The sequence below is a fragment of the Homo sapiens genome, chromosome 2 (genome assembly GCF_000001405.40).
Source record: "Homo sapiens chromosome 2, GRCh38.p14 Primary Assembly".
NCBI classification, from domain to species: Eukaryota; Metazoa; Chordata; class Mammalia; order Primates; family Hominidae; genus Homo; species Homo sapiens.
Genome location: NC_000002.12, coordinates 70,303,169 through 70,325,430, shown reverse-complemented (window position 1 = coordinate 70,325,430; position 22,262 = coordinate 70,303,169). Strand labels below are relative to the sequence as shown.

Here is a 22,262-nt window from a genome sequence, read left to right as displayed (position 1 = left end):
GGCATGGTGGTGCATGCCTGTAATCCCAGCTACTCGAGAGGCTGAGGCAGAAGAATCGCTTGAACCCAGGAGGCAGAGGTTGCAGTGAGCCGAGATCGCACCATTGCACTCCAGCCCGGGCAACAAAAGGGAAACTCCATCTCAAAAAAATAAATAAATAAAAAATAAAAGTACACCACAACTGGTGCTGGGAAGAAAAGGATTACAATACTTAATCTGTGGTCCATGCACCAGCAGCCTGGGCTCCACCTGGGAGCTTGTTAGAAACACAGCATCTCCAGACCTTCTGAACCAGAATCTGCACCTTACCAGGATGCTTCATAGTTTGAGTAGCCCAGGAGTAGGGAGGATTTGACTGATTACAGAGGTAAGGAAAGGTTCCTGAAGGAAGCAATGAGTAAACTTAGATCTGAAAGGAGAGAAGGCACTAAGTCAAAAAGGGAGGGAAGAGTTGCAGGTGGAGGAAAGAGCGTATGCAAAGCCTTTGTGGTCCTGGAAGCCTGGTGCACATGAAGAAATAAAAAGGCCAGTACACATGTTTAACACAGAGTGCCAGGCAGAGCATGGGGGAGGTAAGCTCAGAGAGAGAGGAGGGCCCAACATACAGGGCTTTGTGTACTAAGGCATTTTGCCTTTATATAGGAAATTATGTTGTGTTTTCAACATGGACATCACTGAATTATATGTGAACAATGAAGTGATTGCTTTTGCTGCCTTTGACCTGTGATGAAATGAATAGTTTATACTGATATATCACTTTATATTGAACTATATCAGCATTCCTGGAATAAACCCTACCTGAGTGTGATGTTTATTCGTTGGATTTTATTTGGAAGTACATTATCATTTTGCATCCACATTCATTCGTTAAATCAGTCTACATGTTTTGTATGCTTGTCAGGAGGATGTTTTTGGGTTTTTTGGTTTTTTCCAGACAGACTCTCATTCTGTCACCCAGGCTGGAGTGCAGTGGTGCAACCTTGGCTTACTGCAACCTCCACCTCCCAGGTTCAAGCGATTCTCCTGCCTCAACCTCCTGAGTAGCTGAGATTACAGGTGTGCACTACCGCACTGGCTAATTTTGGTATATTTTGTAGAGATGGGGTTTTGTCACATTGCCCAGGCTGGTCTTGAACTCCTGAGCTCAAGCAATCCTCCTGCCTCGGCCTCCCAAAGTGCTGGGATTACAGGCATGAGCCACCTTGCCCAGCCTGTTGAGGGGATGTTTTGTTCTCTTTATGTTTCATGCTAGCTTTGTAAAATAAAATTCTCTACTATCCAATAATTTATGTATCACAGGAATTCTTTTCTTTTTTTTCTTTTTTTGAGACAGAGTCTCACTCTTGTCACCCAGTCTGGAGTGCAATGGCGCAATATCGGCTCACTGAAACCTTCACCTCCCAGGTTCAAGTGATTCTCCTGCCTCAGCCTCCTGAGTAGCTAGGGTTACAGGTGCCTGCCACCACGTCTGGCCAATTTTTGTACTTTTAGTAGAGATGGGGTTTTGCCATGTTGGCCAGGCCGGTCTCGAACTCCTGACCTCAAGTGATCCGCCTGCGTTGGCCTCCCAAAGTGCTGGGATTACAGGCATGAGCCACCACTCCCAGCCAGGAATTCTTTCCTTTGAAGACTTGAAAAAACTCTGTATGCAAGAAGCGTCTTGAACATATATTGATAATTTATATTATCTTTAAAAAGAATCCCATGAGATCTAAAAACATATTAGCATAGCATTATGCATTACATTATTCTAATAATTTTTGTTCACCGTGGTATCTATGTTCCTTTTCTGATTACTCATTTTGTCTTTATTATATTAGGTGTGGTATCCATTTTATAGTTGCTTTGTTTTTAATAACAATGTGTTGAATCTGCTTATCTACTTATGGTAGTGGCTATATTTTGCAAAGCTATCTGTTAATCCTCTCCCCAACCCCTTCTCCATTAAGAGACCCTGCAGCCTTGACCTCAGAAGTACACACATGTGAGGTTGAGCCAATCAGGTACCAATCAGGTACCTCATAATTGCTGTTTCCAGGGTATATATGGGACCCAAGCCAGGCCAATCAGAGGTCTTTCCCGGGCTTTTTCTTGTAAAAGCTAGCAGTAAGAGCTGCCTTCTTTTCCTCTCTGGGTACAAGCTGAAAGGATGTGACCCTCAAGCTGCCAAGATCCACGTTCTTCTCCATGTGAAGGATAAAACAGAGCCAACACACAGAGAAATGCAGAAATGAAAAACCAAAAACCACTCCAACTGCCCTGGAGTCCTTTGGTTTGGCCAAAGCCAGCTCTGTCTCTGCTCTGTCTTTGATTTGATGAGTTACACCAATAAATTCCTTTATTAATTTCACTTAGTCAGTGTTGGATTTATTAAACCTGGGACTCATCTTTTTCCTTGAAGGCCTAAAAGAACTTCAGCATGTTTTTATCTTGGATTCATTTATCCTGATACTGATGCTGCAATCCCTGATTTCTTTGGGTCTGCCTTTGCAAGGCTGCCCTCTTATTTGTAGCCTTTCTGGGTTGCTTTTGTTTTGAGTGTCTCTTAACAATGGCTGTACTTTGCTGCACACACACCAGCGGGATATGTTCCTGGTGAAAAGTGCATGTGTACTTCCAGAGCCTTAGCTGGTTTGTGTCCTACCTGAGTAGCCAATTAAACTCACCCTGCCCCACACACATGACTCTGTAACACAAGGCTCTCTGGCCGTCTACCACCTCTGGTATTTTCATCATCATAGCACTCAGGGTTTCCATGCCCTGACTCAACTTCCTTCTGTTTCTGTCTCAAGCTTTTCCACCATGCCCACCAGAATTAGTTTTGAGTGTAATAAATGCCCCCATACTGCCAACCTTTCTACTAAGGTTTCCTTCACCTCCTTGTCTTAACTGAAACCTAGATTTTCCCATAAGATCCCCACTTCTAAAACATTAAGTACTATGGAAACCACTACCACATTTCATTTCAAAGTGTTCTTTCCTTTTTATTTCATCTTCCTTCCTCTTTATGTACTCCATTAGGCAGATCCATCTTCATTTCTATTATCTCATTATCTTTTTTTTCCATTTCCTAGAAACTATGTTTTCTTGACTTTAAAGAACAAGGCAAGCCTCCTCACACCTGTGATCCCACCACTTTGGGAGGCCAAGATGGGTGGATCACCCAAAGTCAGGAGTTCAAGACCAGCCTGGCCAACGTGGCAAAACCCCATCTCTACTGAAAATAACAAAAATTAGCCAGGCATGGTGGCACACACCTATAATCCCAGCTACTTGGGAGGTTGAGGCCAGAGAATCGCTTAAACCTGGAAGGTGGAGGTTGCAGTGAGCAGAGATGGTGCCACTGCTCTCCAGCCTGGGTGACAGAACAAGACTCTGTCTCAAAAAAAAAAAAAAAGAAAAAAAGAAAAAAGAACAATGCAATGCAAGCCTGGACAACGAGGTGAGACCCTGTCTCTACAAAAAAATTAAAAATTAGCTGAGCATAGTGGTATGTGTCTGTAGTCCTAGCTACTAGGGAGGCTGTGCCTGGAGGATCACTTGAGCCCAGGAGTTTAAGGTTATCGTGAGCTTTTTTTTTTTTTTTTAAGAGACAGGGTCTCACTCTGTTGCCCAGGCTTCAGTGCAGTGGCACAATCATAGCTCACTGCAGCCTCAAGCTCCTGGGCTCAAGTGATCCTTCTGCCTCAACCTCCCAAAGTGCTGAGGATTACAGAGATGAGCCACTGAACCCAGCCTACAGTGAGCTATGATCACCTAGTGGCTCTTTAGCCCTTCTTAACATCCATAACAAATCTCACAACCTCCACTGTGTCTGCTGCCACAGTCAAGATGTTACGCAAGCAGCCCTCAGCCACCCGCCACCTCTTGCCTTCCTCTCTACCTCCCTCATCCAGCCGGATTACATCAGCTAACAACTCTTGGATCTGTGAAGAACTTTGCTGACACTCTAAACTGCTCCTCAAAAACTACTAAGAGATGGGGCATGGTGGCTCACGCCTGTAATCCCAGCACTTTGCAGGCTGAGGCAGGCAGATCACTTGAGGACGGGAGTTCGAGACCAGCCTAGCCAACATGGTGAAACCTCGTCTCTACTAAAAATACAAAAATTGGCCAGGCGCGGTGGCTCACACCTGTAATCCCAGCACTTCGGGAGGCCGAGGCGGGCAGATCACGAGGTCAGGAGATCGAGACCATCCTGACCACAGTGAAACCCCATCTCTACTAAAAATACAAAAAAGTAGGTGGGCGTGGTGGCGGGCGCCTGTAGTCCCAGCTACTCAGGAGGCTGAGGCAGGAGAATGGCGTGAACCCGGGAGGCAGAGCTTGCACTGAGCCGAGACTGCGCCACGGCACTCCAGCCTGGGCGACAGAGCAAGACCCCATCTCAAAAAACAAAACAAAACAAAAAATTAGCCGGACATGGTGGCAGTTGCCTGTAATCCCTGCTACTAGGGAGGCTGAGGCATGAGAATCACTTGAACCCGGGAGGTGGAGGTTGCAGTGAGCCTAGATCGTGCCACTGCACTCCAGCCTGGGTGACAGAGTGTGCCCTGTCTCAAAAAAAAAAAAAAAAAGTTACTAAGAGCTTGCTGCTTTGTTACTGCCCCCTGAGTCCCCACTGCCCTTGAATCCCACTGGCCTACAAGGGACACTTGTCAAGAAGCAGGAAGGCATGGTGGTTACAGGTATGGCCTCTGGAGCCAGACAGCCTGGGTTTGAATCCTGGCTTTACTACTTGCAAACACATGACCTTGTGTAAGGTGCTTAACTTTTCTGTTTCCTCATCTGTAAAATGCAGACAATAATAATAATACCATAGGATTAGAATGAGGATTTGAAGACATATTTCCAAAGCACCTAGAATAATGCCCGGCACATCGTAAGCCAGACGTTTGTAAATAAATAAATGAGACTCTGTGTACCAACGGAGCTATTTCCCCTATGTCCAGCATTGATCATGACATCCCCAGTCTTCTCCATTCATTTTCCTTTTAATTTTTTATTTTGAAATATTTTCGAGCACACAGGAAAGTAAACACAGAGACTAATACAGCCAATGCCTATGTGCTTATCAGGCAGACTAATTTTTAAAACATTTGTGTAGCAGAGAGAGAAATATGTGTATTTGTGTGTACATGTGTATTATTCTAAGATATAGAGACAGAGTTCTGCCTGAGGAGAAATGAGTTCTTTTACTTAACTTGAATATAAAAGTGAAGCTTCTAGGACTTGGGCTGGACAGGTGAAAGGAAAACACACAAAGAAGCCTGGGAGACTGGATCCAGAAAGGAAGATACGATAAGGGTGGAGGAAAGAAAGGCCAAACCTCATAGTGAGTAGAATGTTCTTCTCCACAGAAGCAGGAATCGCTGAGGCCTTTCTGAACCACACAATCCTATGTTCAAGTTAAAGCTGTTTGCTGTGCCGTGATGCTGTATGACTTCTCTTGTTGCCTCAAACTTTCCATCAACAACCGCCACTCACACTCGCTCCATTGAGTGTGCGGTACTGAGAGGGCATGAAGCAACCAGGGAAGTACCTAGTGTAGGTTGACAAGGTCCAAAAATGGAATAGCACATATGGGAGATGAGATGCCACCCTGCAACCGGCAGCAGCCCGCCGGGAAACCAACCCCTTCATCCACAATAAACAAGCTAGGAGACCAGACCACTACAAATCAGACTTGCAGCAAGCCTGCCTGCTGTCTCTAAGTGACAATCCAGGATGCAGCTTCCCTCATTTTTGTCCCCACATCCAATTTATTTAATTTTTTTTATTTATTATTTTTTAGATGGAGTCTCACTCTGTTGGCCAGGCTGGAGTGCAGTGGCACGATCCTGGCTCACTGCAACCACCGCCTCCCAGGTTCAAGTGATTCTCCTGCCTCAGCCACCCTAACAGCTGAGAATACAGGTGCCTGCCACCACACCTGGCTAGTTTTTGCATTTTTAGTAGAGACAGGTTTTCACCATGTTGGCCAGTCTGGTCTCAAACTCCTGGACTCAAGCGATCCACCGGCCTCGGCCTCCCAAAGTGCTGGGATTACAGGCATAAGCCACCATGCCCAGCCCCCACATCCAATTTAAAACAAACCAGAGAAAGCCAAATATGCCCCTCTAATGAATCACAGAGGATTAATCACATTCGCTTTGCCTTCATGGCCCCTACAGCTTCTCCATGCTAACTGCCTTGCACCAGCACACCTGATGCCTTCGCTTTCTTCCACTGTGAAGCTTTCCCACTCTGCTTGCCTTTGAGCCTTCACTAAACACAAGTGATGGTGGCTGACTCCCTTGCTATAGCAAGTTCACAATAAATAGCCTTTGCTTTTCTCATTCAGCTGGTCTTTGTTTATCTCCACTGTCCCAAGGGATGACCACTCCAAATGCTGTCCACCTCTCCAGGTTGCAGAGGCCCAGGGTGCCCTCAGGAGATGGCAGCTTCAGTGGAGTAGTGATGGGGACAACCAGGTATGAAGAATCTGGTGCTAAAATATACTTGAGGTTCATGTACATACAACCTGCCTGCACTCCAGGCAACTCTCTGGATACCAACTCGCTGGTTCCTTCCTTTTCCCACACCTCCCACCCACAGCTCACCCCTTTGCAGTTGTCCAGATACAGTATCTTGTTTCCTTCATATCTGCCCGTTGAATACATTTAAGCATTATTCTTCCTGTGCACAAAGGATGCAGAAACCCAACCTTGGCCATGCCCTGTGTCTCGCTCCTCTGAAGAACACACAGTTCTGCCCTGGGTGGCTTGAGGTCTTCCCATGTAGGGGTTCCACTAGCACAGGTAGACCAAGGGCATTTACTCCTCCCCTCTGCCCTTCCATTAAGAATGTGCTCAGCTGGCCCTCTGCTAAGCTACTCTCCATGCTTCTAACAGGGAAGAGAGAAAATCCCACTAATGTTCTTTCTGGTCATGGCCAGCATAACCTCAAGTCAGGAGAAGAAATGCGTCCCACCTCCTTTGGTGTTCGGTGGAGCCACCCCGCATGTCTGCTAAAAGTTCAGCTGGAACCTGATGGTCTTGCCTCTCTTGGGTTCCTGACCAGGAGCCACAAGCCATGGCTAGAGGTCCCAAGCCCAGCGGTGCTGCTGGTATAATGACAGCCCCTCCCTCATTCCCTGAAGCATCTCTCACCCCCTCTCAGCACAGACCACCTAAATGGCAACTATCCCTTCTCAGCCCACCATCACCCTCCCCACACCCCACTAAGTTACATTGACTTAATGACAAAAATAAGTGTACAGATCTTGTCTTTAAAGGTTGAAGGCAAGCTGGGGCTGGTAGCTCACGCCTGTAATCCCAGCACTTTGGTGGGGCCAAAGTGGAAGGATTGCTTGAGCTCAGGATTTCGAGATCAGCCTAGGCAACACAGTAAGACCCCGTCTCTACAGAAAGTAAAATATTAGCTGGGCATGGTGGAGCACAACTGTAGTCCCAGCTACTCAGGAGGCCGAGGTGAAAGGATCACTTGAGCTGTGATCCTGCCACTGCCCTCCAGCCTAAGTAAGACCCTGCCAAAAAAAAGAAGAAAAGTTGACGGCAACCTTTTCATTTCTCCAGGATTAAATGACCCACAGTGGTCCTGGGCCAGATGCTTGTCCTGTCAGAACTGAGATGTCTGACTTTATGTAAAGTGCCACTGATGTTCTAATATCACCAAGAGAACCTAGGTCCAGCCATTAGTATCACTCTTCTTGTTGAGCTTGGATATATTTTGAATATCTGTGTGGCATGGTGTTTACACGGGTAAAGTATTCAGTATTTACAGTAGATGAAATAAGTCTTTGGCAACTCTGGATCCCCTCTTAAAACTTCTGTCCTAATCCCTTGTCCTTTCAGGAGCCTAGTGTCCACATTCAGCCCTCTAACTGTCCACAACTTTGACAATATCTCCTCAAATCCCACCACCCCACCCAGTCTTGACAATGCCTCAGAATGGATCTCTCCTCTCTTCTTACTCTTCACAATTTGGAGCCAGGGATGTTGCCTGATTAAGAAGGGACTCTTGGCCTCTTTGGTAAGGAACCAGAGAGATGGTTTAATCCAGTCAAGCTCATTTTACAGATAAAGAAATTGAATCCCAGAGAAAGGAATACCTAAGACCAACCCAGATCCAAAGATTTCAACCAAAGTTCCCTGAATGGACTTTTACTGTAAGGAGAAGCAGAGCCCTTTGGGTTGAGTGTGTGTGACAGGCCTGAGGTCGCCTCCTGTGGTGGAACAGAGCCCAGCCCCACAAGAGACCTTCCTTAAGGGGCTCCTCAGCACTTCTGCTCCCAAGGCCTGGACCACAACAGGTTCCACAAATTATTATTATTATCACCATTGTTGTTTTGCTATAACAACCACAGTAATAAGAGGGGGAGAAAGGGAAATACAGGATTCCCAGGAACAATAATAATTATTTACCTCATACCTCAGAGACACTAACTGCCTGCCACCACACCCCTGAGAGTTAATAGTATTGTCACAATTTATAAAAGGGAGAAGGAAGGAAGAGAAAAGGGAGTGGCTCTATCACTGAGTTAGCTGAAGGACAAGTTGGCAGAAGTAGGCTAAGAACACAGAAGAGTTTGATGCTCAGCCCAAGATTGAATCTGTAAACCAATGTTTTCAACAGAAACTAGATCTGCAACCTACACAGTACTTCAGCTCAGGACTTTCCAAACTCTTTTGATCATTATCCACAGTAGGAAATATAATTTCACATTTACACCCATGCATATAGCACTTTAAGAGGCAAAAGTGGGCAGATTGCTTGAGCCCAGGAGTTCGAGACCAACCTGGGTAACAGAGCAAGACCTTGTCTCTAAAAAAAATACGAAACTTAGCTGGGCATGATGGCGCATGCCTGTGGTCCCACTTACTTGAGAGGCTGAGGTGGGAGGTTGCAGTAAGACATGATTATGCCACTGCACTCTAGCCTTGGCAACAGAGCAAGACCCTATCTCAAAAAAAAAAAAAAAGATATAATAGCTATGAACCAACCCACACATTCTCACATTCTCACCCTACCCTCACCACCCTGGAAAAATGGGACAGTTCAACTCAATAAGTATTTACCAGGTACATCTGACCAGCACTCCACCAGATGCTGTGAGAAATGCTCTGATTGACAATACAATTTTAGACTTGCAAGGTCAGCAGGAGCAGGGGAGAAGATGTGAGTTTTGGAGTCCATCAGATCTCATTTGAGTCCCTTTTCCACTGTGTCTTAGCAGTGTGACCTTAAACAATGTACTTGACCTCTAAAAGCACTTTCTCCTGACAATGTTGAATTTTACCTGAGCCCAGTGATTCTGAAGAACAGTGAAGGTTAAGAAATCCCTAACTCTTTGTGTTCTGGAAAACGCTTACTGCAAGGACTCATACTTCTCCATATGACTTAGAGAAAACTCACACATGCCTCCCTTGTTTACTTATGACCAGGCCAGACACAGATTCCAAATTCCCATTCTTTACCTTATAAATAATTACCTGAATTGCTTGCTCCCATTGATCAATAGGAACAAGATGTCGGTTAACCAAACTTTGGGTTGAGAGCTTTCCTCCTCTCTCCAGACCTCTGAGGTTTGGCCACCCTGAGCCTGAGCCACACAACACTCTTGAGAGTTTCCTCCCAGAAAATATGCTAGCCTCACAGTAAAACATTCTCTGATCTACTATCTCATTGGTCACATCATCCTCTTCTCCTGCTTCCCAACACCTGGTTCTTTTCTAGCTTTTTTACTCCTTTAAAAAAACTCTTGGCCAGGCACAGTGGCTCACATTTGTAATCCCAGTACTTTGGGAGGCTGAGGAGGGCAGATCACTTGAGGTCAGGAGGTCACCTGAGGTCTCAGCCAGCCTGGCCAACGTGGCAAAACCCCATCTCTACTAAAAATAAAAAATGTAGATGGGTGTGGTGGCACATGCCTGTAATCCCAGCTACTCGGGAGGCTGAGATATGAGAATCACTTGAACCCGGGAGGCAGAGGTTGCAGTGAGCAGAGATCACACTGCTGCACTCCAACCTGGGTGACAAAGTAAGACTCTGTCTCAAAAAAAAAAAAAAAAAAAAGAAAAAGAAAAAACTCTTCTTCTCTTCTTTGTCTAACTCTCAAGATCTTTGCAGATGTTAAGGTCACAAGGTGCTCCCTACTGACGTAGTCCCTTCCCCCACTGCATTAGTCCCCTCCACTATTACAATATTCTCTCTCCCCCATTGCAACAGTCCCCTACCCCAGTGCGATACTCCCCTCCTCCTACTCAATTGTACCCTCCCCCTAATGCAACAGTCCTTCTCCCTCTATTGCAATAGTCCCCTCCCCTATTGCAGCAATCTTCTTTTTTTAAAGATGGGATCCGGCTGTGTTGTCCAAGCTGAACTAGAATTCCTGAGCTCAAGTGATCCTCCTGCTTCCCAAATAGCCCTCCAGAGTAGCTGACACTGCAGTTGTACAGCACCATGTCCGGCTGCAACAATCCTTTTGAATTAAAGTGTCTTCTTACTAAGTCTGAATGTGGTTTTGACACTTGTCTGCCAAATAAGGATAACAGTAACATCTGCAAAGCTGTGGAGAGGGTTAGAAGTCCTATCTTTATGTGCCTGGTATATCTGGTGCACAATGGGTGCTCAGTAAACAGAAGCTACTGTTATTATCTTTGAAGGTAAAATCCCAGATGAGAAAAGTGAGGCCCCACTCAGCCCCCACTTGCACTCAGCTCCATGGCCTACCTTGCAACAAGGAGTGTTATCATGAAGTGGCTTCAAGAGAATGTGACCCAGAGGATGGGGAGGACAGAGGCCGGGGTATTCAAGCCATGTCATTTCAGAGGTGTATAGAAAACACACTGGGATGACAGTCAGAGATATCCATGTGTATTCTAATTTCTGACACCCACTGTGATGACATGAAACCCATGTCTTTCTAGGGCCCAGTTTCATGAGAAGGTTGATTTGGATCAAGAATTCTCAAACTCAGGCCTGGCACGGTGGCTTACGCCTATAATCTTTTTAACAGTGGAGGGTGTCCAGGTTCTTGGCATCTTGAACAAAGAATTGGACAAAGCACACAAACAAAACAAGGAAGGAATGAAGGGATTTATTGAAAATAAAAGTACACTCCACAGTGTAGGAGCAGACCTGAGCATAGGGACCCAAGGGTCCTGTTACAGAGTTTTCGTGAGTTTAAATACCCTCTACTTGGGGTACACCCGATGTAAATGAAGAGGATGAAGTAGTTACAAAGTCATTTACTTGGTGTATGCCCTATGTAGAGAATATTTCTTCTCATAGCTGAAGTCTGAATCAGCCTTATGTTCCCAGCCTCCAGACCCTATTTTCCTGCCTCAATCTCAGCATTTTGGGAGATCAAGGCAAGAGGATCTCTTGAGGCCAGGAGCCTAAGGCCAACATGGGCAGCATAGGAAGACCTTGTTTCTACTAAAAATAAATATTTTCTTTTTTTTTTTTTTTTTTTTTTTGAGGCAGAGTCTCACTCTGTCACCCAGGCTGGAGTGCAGTGGCACGATCTCAGCTCACTGCAACCTCCGCCGCCCGGGTTCAAGCGATTCTCCTGCCTCAGCCTCCCAAGTAGCTGGGATTATAGGTACCTGCCACTACGCCCAGCTAATTTTTTGTAATTTTAGTAGAGATGAGGTTTCACCATGTTGGCTAGGCTGGTCTCAAACTCCTAACCTCGTGATTCACTTGCCTCAGCCTCCCAAAGTGCTGGGATGACAGGCGTGAGCCACCGCACCCAGCCAAAATAAGTATTTTCTATTTTATTTATTTATTTTGAGATGGAGTCTCACTCTGTCACCCAGGCTGGAGTACAACGGCGCCATCATGGCTCACTGCAACCTCCACCTCCCAGGTTCAAGCAATTCTCCTGCCTCGGCCTCCCAAGTAGCTAGGATTACAGGCATGTGCCACCATGCCCGGTTAATTTTTTTTTTTTTCCCCAGAGATGGAGTCTTGCTCTGTCGCCCAGGCTGGAGTGCAGTGGGGAGATCTCGGCTCACTGAAACTTCTGCCTCTCAGGTTTTTTAAGCAATTATCTTGCCTCATCCACCAGAGTAGCTGGGATTACAAGCATGTGACACCACACCCAGCTAATTTTTGTATTTTTAGTAGAGATGGGGTTTTACCATGTTGTCCAGGCTGGTCTCGAACTCCTGACCTCCTGATCCGCCCGCCTTGGCCTCCCAAAGTGCTGGGATTACAGGCATGAGCCACTGCGCCCGGCCCTAATTTGTTTGTATTTTTAGTAGAGACGGAGTCTTATCATGTTGGTCAGTCTGGTCTCAAACTCTTGACCTCGTGATCTGCCCTCCACGGCCTCCCAAAGTGCTGGGATTACAGGCATGAGCCACCACACCCGGCAAATTATTTTTTTAAAGAGTTTTCAAGCTGTGCCCCACATCACTCTGGGGCTCCATAGAGATGCATTCAGGATTCCACAAGATATCTGAGAATTTTAATTTTTTAAATGTTTTAAAATTCTTTTTTATCTGCCCTTCAAAAAACACCTGCTCAAGTATATTATATGCCATGTTTTAGCCTAGAAGACATCATTGGGGAATTTTCTTGTGCTACCAGGTTAACTTGCTTTAGTCCAGGCTTAGACTGAAGCTTCTCCTGCCACTTCTGCTTCGTAAAGAGTATCTCAAGACTGAAAAAGGAAGTGGTGGGAAGAGGCCACCATATGCAACTACTTACCTGGTAAAATCAAGGTTGTCTTGATTCTGTGTAAATAAAGCAAAACTGAGATGTACAATGGAAGCTGAGACTGTCCTAGAATTGGTATGTCATTCATAACCCAATTTCAATTTTTTTGTGTTGATTGAAACAACCTTGTTGTTCTAGAGCTATACTGGCCAATAGAACTTTCTGCAATTATGGAAATGCTATGTATCTACATATAGTAGCCACATGCCACATATCCTAGTGAGCATTTAAAATGTGGCTAGTGTAACTAAGCTGAATTCTTTAATTTTGTTATATTAAAATTTTTATTTTATTTTATTTTATTTTTTGAGATGGAGTCTCACTCTGTCACCCAGGCTGGAGTGCAATAGCACGATCTCAGCTCACTGCAACCTCCGCCTCCCGGATTCAAGCGATTCTTCTGCCTCAGCCTCCCGAGTAGCTGGGACCACAGGCGTGTGCACCACGCCTGGCCAATTTTTGTATTTTTAAGAGACAGGGTTTCACCATATTGGCCAGGCTGGTCTCAAACTCCTGACTTCATGATCCGCCCACCTCGGCCTCCCAAAATGCTGGGATTACATGCGTGAGCCATTGTGCCCGGCCCCCTTTTTTTTTTTTTTTTTTTTGAAATGGAGTCTTGCTCTGTCACCCAGGCTGGAGTGCAGTGGTGCAATCTCAGTTCACTACAACCTCCACCTCCTGGTTTCCAACAATTCTCCTGCCTCAGCCTCCTGAATAGCTGGGTTTACAGGCAAGCACCACCATACCTGCCTAATTTTTGTATTTTCAGTAGAGACAGGGTTTCACCATGTTGGCCAGGCTGGTCTCGAACTCCTGACCTCAAGTGATCCACCCACCTCAGCCTCCCAAAGTGCTGGGATTACAGTCATAAGCCATTGCACCCAGCCAAAAACTTTTTATATTTAAAATACAGATGGGGTCTCACTATGTTGCCCAGGCTGGTCTTAAACTCCCAAGCTCAATGGATCCTCTCACTTCAGCCTCCCAAAGCGCTACGATTATAGGCATGAGCCGCCATGTCTGCCTTTACTTTTCATTTAAATTTAAGTAACAACATGTAGTTAAGTGGCTGCCATCCTGGATGGCACAGTAGATAGTCTATCTACAATAAATCTTTGAAATGTAAACTTACAAAATTAATCGAGATAGTTAAAATAACATCATCCATTCTTTATATTGGAGTTGCCCCCCCAACCCCTCTGCACACCTAGTTGTTAAGTTTGAAAACTAACCAAAAAGAGGGGAAAGAATTTCTAATGTGAGCTCCCTTCTGCTGGGTAGCAAGGACATAATCTCAATCAATTTGAGAGTTCATCCTCGAGTTTCATCTGGTGGGAAGGTGGGTAGGATCATCTGTCCACACTGGCATCTGTGAGGGAAAAGGTCTCCATTCTTGGTTCACACCAGCTGCCTCAGAGTCATTCCTCTTCCCAATGACAATATTTCTCCAGATCCAGTTCTCTCAGGTACTTCTGGGCTCTGGGCTCCTCTCAGCTGCCTGGAGATCATTAGGCAGTTCCCATTCTGGGCCATGGGAAAGAGATACCGTCAGGCTGTCCGTGGCCCTATCTAGTTTCATGCTACTCTAGGGCAGCTCCTACTCACACTGAGCCTTGGAGAACCCTGTGGACTGCCTAAGGCCCTCTCTGCCTAGACCCCCTGCAGACATCACCCCTCTGGAGCCTGGCCAACTCCCTGGGACTCTACAAAGGCAGACATGACCCCTTTGCTCCTGGATTGCTCAGCCTACCTGGGGGATTCTATCAACCGCCATCCCAGGACTTACTCAAATCTCTACACTTGAATTATAATTTCAGTCCTTTTCTGCTTAACATTGGTCACTGGCTGTATGCAATGTTTCCTCTTATTTGTATATGACATGGAAACATTTGTAATATAATTGTAAAAGCAAGATACCAAAGTATATATATTTTATTACTACAATTTTCATTTATTTATTTTTTGAGACGGAGTCTTGCCCTGTCACCAGGCTGGAGTGCAGTGGTGCGATCTTGGCTCACTGCAACCTCCGCCTCCCGGGTTCAAGCAATTCCCCTGCCTTAACCTCCCGAGTAGCTGGGACTACAAGCGCGTGCCACCACGCCCGGCTAATTTTCTGTATTTTACTAGAGATGGGGTTTCACCACGTTGGCCAGGATGGTCTCAATCTCCCGACCTCATGATCCGCCCGCCTCGGCCTCCCAAAGTGCTGGGATTACAGGCGTGAGCCACCACGCCTGGCCTACAACAATGTTTTTAAAAACCCATATAGAAAAAAAAAGACTGGAAAGAAATAAATCAAGACCATATAGATGAAAGTGTGACCCTGGAGATGACAGAACACCTAGAAAAAAGAGACATGGAGCTGCCATATGAGCTCTAGAATGCTTACCTTCAGATGATATCTGAGAAACAAACATTTGTCATGTTTCAACAAAAGAAAGAAATCAAAAATTTAACAGTGGTATTTGAAGTAGTAGGGTAGCCAGGTATGGTGGCACATGCCTATAATCCCAGCTACTAGGGAAGCTGAGGCAGGAGAATTGCTTGAACCCAGGAGGTGGAGGATGCAGTGAGCCAAGATCGCCCCACTGCACTACAGCCAGGACAACAGAGTGAGGCTCCGTATAAAAAAATCAATCAATCAATCAATCAAAGTACATAAATAAATAAAGTTGTAGGGTAGTATTATGGATTTTTACATTTTTATCTATTCATTGTTGCTTTTCTCTGGTTTCCAAATATTTCTAGTAATCTGATTACCTGTATAATGAAATTAATGAGGGGTTAGTATGTGCCAGACACTAGGCAAAGAATTGGTGAAAAGCAATGACCAAAACAGACGTGGTCCCTCTCCTCATAGAGTTTTTAATCTAGCAAAGAAAATAAACATGGGACAAGTAATGAACAATAGTGATGGGCATCATCACAGACAAGTACAGAGGGCCAAGAAAATGACAGAGGAGCATACAGAGTGGGAAGGAGGCAATCAGAGAAGTCTTTTTAAAAAAAAACATTATGCCGGCCAGGCATGGTGGCTCACACCTATAATCCCAGCACTTTGGGAGGCAGAGGCGGACAGATCACAAGGTTAGGAGTTAGAGACCAACCTGACCAACATAGTGAAACCCCATCTCTACTAAAAATACAAAAATTAGCTGAGCATGGTGGTGCACACCTGTAGTCCCAGCTACTCAGGAGGCTGAGGCAGGAGAAGTGCTTAAACCAGGGAGGCAGAGGTTGCGGTGAGATGAGATCACCCACTGCACTCCAGCCTGGGCAACAGAGTGAGACTCCGTCTCAAAAAAAAAAAAAATTATGCCATAAGAAAAGTCTTTTTGATTCCATATAGCAAGTTCCCACTAATCAAAAGATTGAAATTATAGAGTGCGTTTACTGACCATAATGCAATCACGCCTGCAATTGATAAAAAGTTACCTAAAAATACCCATATGTTTAGAAATTAAGAAATATATTTTGGTCTGGCACAATAGCTCGCGCCTGTAATTCCAGCACTTTGGGAGGCCAAGGTGGGAGGATCACGTGAGCCCAGGAAGAGACCAGCCAGGACAACATGGCAAGACCCCATCTCTACCAAAAGAAATACAAAAATTAGCCAACTGTGGTGGCATGTGCCTGTAGTCCCAACTACTTGGGAGGCTGGGGTGGGAGGATCGCTTGAGCCCAGGAGGCAGAGGCTGCAGTGAGCTGAGATTGTGCCAGTACACCCCAGCCTGGGAGAAAAGCCAGACCCTATCTCAAAAAATATATATGTGTGTGTGTGTATATATGTGTGTGTGTGTGTCTGTATGTGTGTGTGTGTATTTCAAAAAATCCCATGGGTCAAATAATTCATATGGAAATTAGAAAACATTTGAACTAAAAAACTACATGTCAAAACTTGTGGCAGTGTAAAGCTAAAGCAGTACTAAAAGGAACACTTATAACCATAAAATGCAAATAACTAGAAGAAAGGCTGAATAAAAATAAATAAATATAATTTTTGTTTGTTTGTTTGTGTTTTGTTTTTTTGAGATGGAGCCTTGCTCTATCGCCCAGGCTGGAGTGCAGTGGCACAAGCTCAGCTCGCTGAAACCTCCGTCTCCCAGGTTCAAGCAATTCGCCTGCCTCAGCCTCCCAAGTAGCTGGGATTACAGGCACCAGCCACCACATCTGGCTAATTTTTGTATTTTAGTAGAGATGGGGTTTCACCATATTAGCCAGGTTGGTCTCGAACTCCTGACCTCAGGTGATCTACCCACCTCAGCCTCCCAAAGTGCTGGGATTAACAGGCATGAGCCACCGCGCCCAGCCAGCTTTTTTTTTTGTTTTTTTGTTTTGTTTTGTTTTTGAGACAGAGTCTCACTCTGTCACCCAGGCTGGAGTGCAATGGCGCGATCTCGGCTCACTGCAACCTCCACCTCCCGGGTTCAAGCAATTCTCCTGCCTCAGCCTCTCAAGTAGCTGGGATTACAGGCGCCCGCCACCATGCCCAGCTAATTTTTGTATTTTTAGTAGAGACAGGGTTTCGCCTCCTTGGCCAGGCTAGTCTCAAACTCCTAAACTCAGGTAATCCGCCCACCTCGGCCTCCCAAAGTGCTAAGATTACAGGCATGAGCCATCGCACCCGGCCAAATATAATTTTTTAACATCTCAAGAATACTTTCAAATCTTAGAGTTAAGAAACTTGTATTTTGTTTTTTGAGACAGGGTCTCACTTTGTCACCCAGGCTGGAGTGCTGGGGCACAATCATAGCTCACTGGAGCCTCCATCTCCTGGGCTCAAGCAATCTTCCCACCTCAGCCTCCTGAGTAGCTGAGACGACAGATATGCACCACCATGCCCGGCTAAATTTTTTATTTTTTGTTCAGACAGGATCTCCCTATATTGCCCAGGTTGGTCTCAAATTCCTGGCCTCAAGTGATCCTCCCTCCTCGGCCTCCCAAAGTGCTAGGATTGCAGCTATGAGCCATCCTGCCCAGCCAGAATGATTTTTTTTAAAAAAACACAAAAAGAATTAACCATAAAGGGAAAAAATATAAATAGGATTACATTTAAATTAAGGACTTCTTTCATTAATACTGTTTAAAAACTGAAACGTCCACAAAGTAGGAGAAAATATTGTAACACATATAACTGACAAAGAGCCATTACAAGACTATATAAATATATTCGACAGGCCGGGCTCAGTGGTGCAAGCCTGTAATCCCAGCACTTTGGGAGGCCGAGGCGGGTGGATCACAAGGTCAGGAGTTCAAGACCAGCCTGGCCAACATGGTGAAACCCAGTCTCTACTAAAAATACAAAAAATTAGCCAGGCAGGTGGTGCGTGCCTGTGATCCCAGCTACTCGGGAGGCTGGGGCAGAGAGTTGCTTGAACCCGGGAGGTGGAGGTTGCAGTGAGCCAAGATCTCGCCACTGCACTCCAGACTGGGCAACAGAGCGAGACTCTATCTCAAAAAAATTTAATTTAATTTAATTTAATTTAATTTAAAAAAAAAATATATATATATATATATATATATACACAGTCAACAAGCCAGCAAGTAAATGACCACTCCATAAGAAGATTTTTTTTTTTTTTGAGATGGAATTTTGCTCTGTCACCCAGGCTGGAGTGCAGTGGAGCAATCTCAGCTCACTGCAACCTCTGCCTCCCAGGTTTAAGCGATTCTCCTGCCTCAGCCTCCTGAGTAGTTGGGATTACAGTCCCATGCCACCGTGCCTGGCTAATTTTTGTATTTTTAGTAGAGACGGGGTTACACCATGTTGGTCAGGCCAGTCTCAAAATCCTGGCTTCAAGTGATCCATCTGCCTCGGCCTCCCAGAGTTCTGGGATTATAGGCATGAGCCACCACCTAGCCACAATAGGAAGATTTAAACAGGATCAACTGTAGTAGGCCAGGCAATAATAATAATAATAGTGGCTTTAGGGTGATAACAGTAAGCTAGAGAGATGTGAATAGATTCAAGAGATATTTACATAATTGGATATTTATAATCATAAAACATTTGCTTTATTTTATATTTAATAATATACATATATAAAATAATTATTCAACCAAAGTTTTGAATATATATGTATTTTTTTGGCAGAGAGCTCTGAAGCAATTGTGTGGGGGGGTGTGTGTGTGTGTACATATATATATATTTTTTTTTTTTTTTTAACCTGAGACAAGGTCTCTATCGCACAGGCTGGAGTGCAGTGGCGTGATCTCGGTTCACTGCAATCTCTGCCTCTCGGGTTCAAGTGATTCTCATGTCTCAGCCTCCTGAGTACCTGGTATTACAGGCATTCGCCACCACGCCCAGCTAATTTTTGTATTCTTAGTAGAGGCGGGGTTTCGCCATGTTGGCCAGGCTGGTCTCGAACTCCTGGCCTCAAGTGATCCACCCGCCTTGGCCTCCCAAAGTGCTGGGAATACAGGCGTGAGTCATCATGCCCGGCCAGCAATTGAATATATTTTTAAAAAGTACTTGTGACTTCCAAAAAGTTGACTGAATTCTTCATTCTGCAGAAGACAGTGTTCTTTGCTTGTGAGTTTTCTTTTCCCCAGCAAGGCATCATAATCGACCAAGGAGTGTCATGACTAGAGAGTGATAACACTTCAATCTCATTCTTGTTGGCATTAATTTAAAAACAAGTGATAACATGAGAATTGCTTTCTAAATTATCAGTTTGATTGATAAAGTTTCATCTGGAAGTCTTTAACCAAGGTTGGCCATAGCTGGGTTTCTGGCTACCACCCATTGCTAACCTGAGGGTTAGAAAAGGTAGCAGCATCTAGCAAAATTCACTTCCTCCCCTCATCCCGGGCCTCCTGGCCCCCATTTATCTCACCCACATCCTGAACATGAGAAAATAGGAAAGAGCCCTAGTCCCTCTTGTGCCACCATTTGTCTCTGGCACTGCGGGGCCTGCGTTCACAGGATGGCATGCAGGAGAGGTGGGAAAGGAATCAAGATGACAGAACTGACTACCCAGGATCCTGAAAGAGCTGTGACTTGTTTCCAGTGAGTCAGCCCAGGCTTGAGCCAGATAATCCTGAAACCTCATTTCCCACCCTCAAAGCACCAGGGTAATAGCACAGACAGGTATCTGAGCTTCCTAACATGAGATTAAACTCTGCTTCCACCATGACTCCCATGGGATTTCCACAGCCAACTAACTGGAAGTCAGGAATCATTTTTCTTTTTTTTTTTTCTGGGTTTTTTTTTTTCTGTTTTTTTGTTTTTTTGTTTTTTTTTTTTGAGGGAGAGTCTCGCTCTGTCACCCATGCTGGAGTGCAGTGGCACCATCTCAGCTCACTGCAACCTCCACCTCCTGAGTGCAAGTGATTCTCCCACCTCAGCCTCTGAGTAGCTGTGATTGCAGGTGTGTGCCGCTATGCCCAGCTAATGTTTTTATATTTTTAGTAGAGATGGGGGTTTCACCACGTTGGCCAGGCTGGTCTCAAGCTCCCAGCCCCAAGTGATCTGCCCGCCTCGGCCTCCCAATGTGCTGGAATTACAGATGTGAGCCACCGCCCCAGCCAAGAATCATTTTTCGTAAATACTAAAAGTACCATTCAATTTGTGTATAGAAACTAACAAGGCTGCATTACTCAAGGACTTTTAAACTCATTTTAGCATGATTAACTTGGCTCCTACAAGTAGGAGCTGTTGGAGAGGTTCTGTCTGGCATTTTAGGAATAAGAGGGAGAAGTGAGTAGTTTCAGATTGTGCTATAAAGAAGAAAGAAAGAACTTTCTGTGGAATATGGGACATAAGTATAAACATTAAGTCAGTCACAATAGAGATTTCCTACTTTTTCTAGTCTGGAGTTAGCCCATCAGGATTGGAATTCCAGCTCCACCAGTTTATAAATGTGCAATCTCTGGCAAGTGGTTTCATCTCCCTAGGCCTCAGTTTTCTGCCCTGAGTGAGAGAAGAGAGGAGAGTAAAGTACCCACCTCATAGGGTGCTTTGTCATGGAAATTAAATGAGATCATCCCGTGGAAGGCACTTAAAACACTGTCTGGCACATTATTTAATAGTTGGTGTCGCCCTGATTCCAGCTGCTGCTGGGAGCCACTTGTAGTCGAGCTTGAAGTGAACAGGCTGTCTCAAGACCCTGAACTGTGATTTATGGGGAGATACTCACACTTGTACTCACTAGAGAGGGCCTGGCGCTGGAAGAACACAGCTTGTTTGGTTGCTTGCTTGCTTGCTTGCTTGCTTGCTTGCTTGCTTTTATTTTTTATTTTATTTTTTTTGAGACAGAGTCTCACTTTGTTGCCCAAGCTGGAGTGCAGTGACGTGATCTCAGCTCGCTGCAACCTCTACCTCCCGGATTCAAGCGATTCTCCTGTCTCAGCCTCCCAAAGTAGCCAAGACTACAAGTGCCTGCCACCACGCCCGGCTAATTTTTGTGCTTTTAGTAGAGATGGGGTTTCACCATGTTGGCCAGGCTGGTCTCAAACTCCTGAACTCCTGACCTCAGGTGATCCACCTGCCTCAGCTCCCCAAAGTGCTGGGATTACAGGCGTGAGCCACCGTGCCCAATCAAAACATAGCTTTCTTCAAAGAAGCTTGGGTTGAGTCAAACTCCCCACTGCCCTAAACTAGAGTTCTCCTGCCATCTAGCGCCCAATGGCAGAAAATCGTTAAATTCTAATGACGGCCCCATTCCTTTGTTCCTCCCCCACCCCCACCTTGCACCCCCATGCCTGACATGGCTTTCTCTTCAGCCCCATATGCCAAGCAAACACCCACTCATTTCAATTCAATTCAAAGCCTCAATTCAAGCCTTATCTCCTCTAAGAAAACTTTCCTGAGGAACCCGGATGGCTCACTCCCTCCTTGCCAGCCTGGACCACCTCCTCCAGCACACCTCTTCCAACACTGCCCCTTCCCCTTCTCCACGGAGTGTGTTTCCCTTCTCCACTGACACTCCCCTCTGGACCCGCACCCCTAGCTAATGTATTCGATAAATGAATGCACACGACAGTACTGTTATGGGTGGGACAGTGAGGCATTCCAAAAAAAAAACTGCTCCAGGAATTCAGAAACAGTTTCATGTTGCTGGCATGTAAGTGCTTCATTGATGACTGCTTCATTGATGATCTGTAGCCCCTGCTTTGTCTCTGAAGTTCATTTTTTATGAGAAATAAATGCATAAACATACATCTACCCTGTGATCCAACAATCCCATTTCTAGATATTTACCCAAAAGAAAAGAAAATCTGTGTCTACAAAAGACTTGGTCCAGGACTGGGTGGTGGTGCATACCCGTAATCCCTTTGATAGGCAGAGGCAGGAGGATAGCTTGAGGCCTGGAGTTTGAGACCAGCCTGGACAACATAGCAAGATCCCATCTCCAAAAGAAAAAAAAAATGGTCAAGGATGTTCATAGTCACCACTTTATTCATAATAGCTACTAAGTGGAAAAGACCCAAACACCCATCAGCAGGGGAATGGATCAACAAATGTGGGCCGGGACCGATGCCTCATGCCTGCAATCTCAGCACTTTGGGAGGCCGAGGTGTGT

General features: G+C 45.3%; 1 annotated feature.

The window, feature by feature from the left end:
- Positions 21,242-21,371: a silencer, noted in NCBI's record as "silent region_11612". NCBI's record gives its function as "represses an Ori minimal core promoter by ATAC-STARR-seq in GM12878 lymphoblastoid cells {active_cell/tissue: GM12878}" and the evidence as "EXISTENCE:reporter gene assay evidence [ECO:0000049][PMID:35858748]".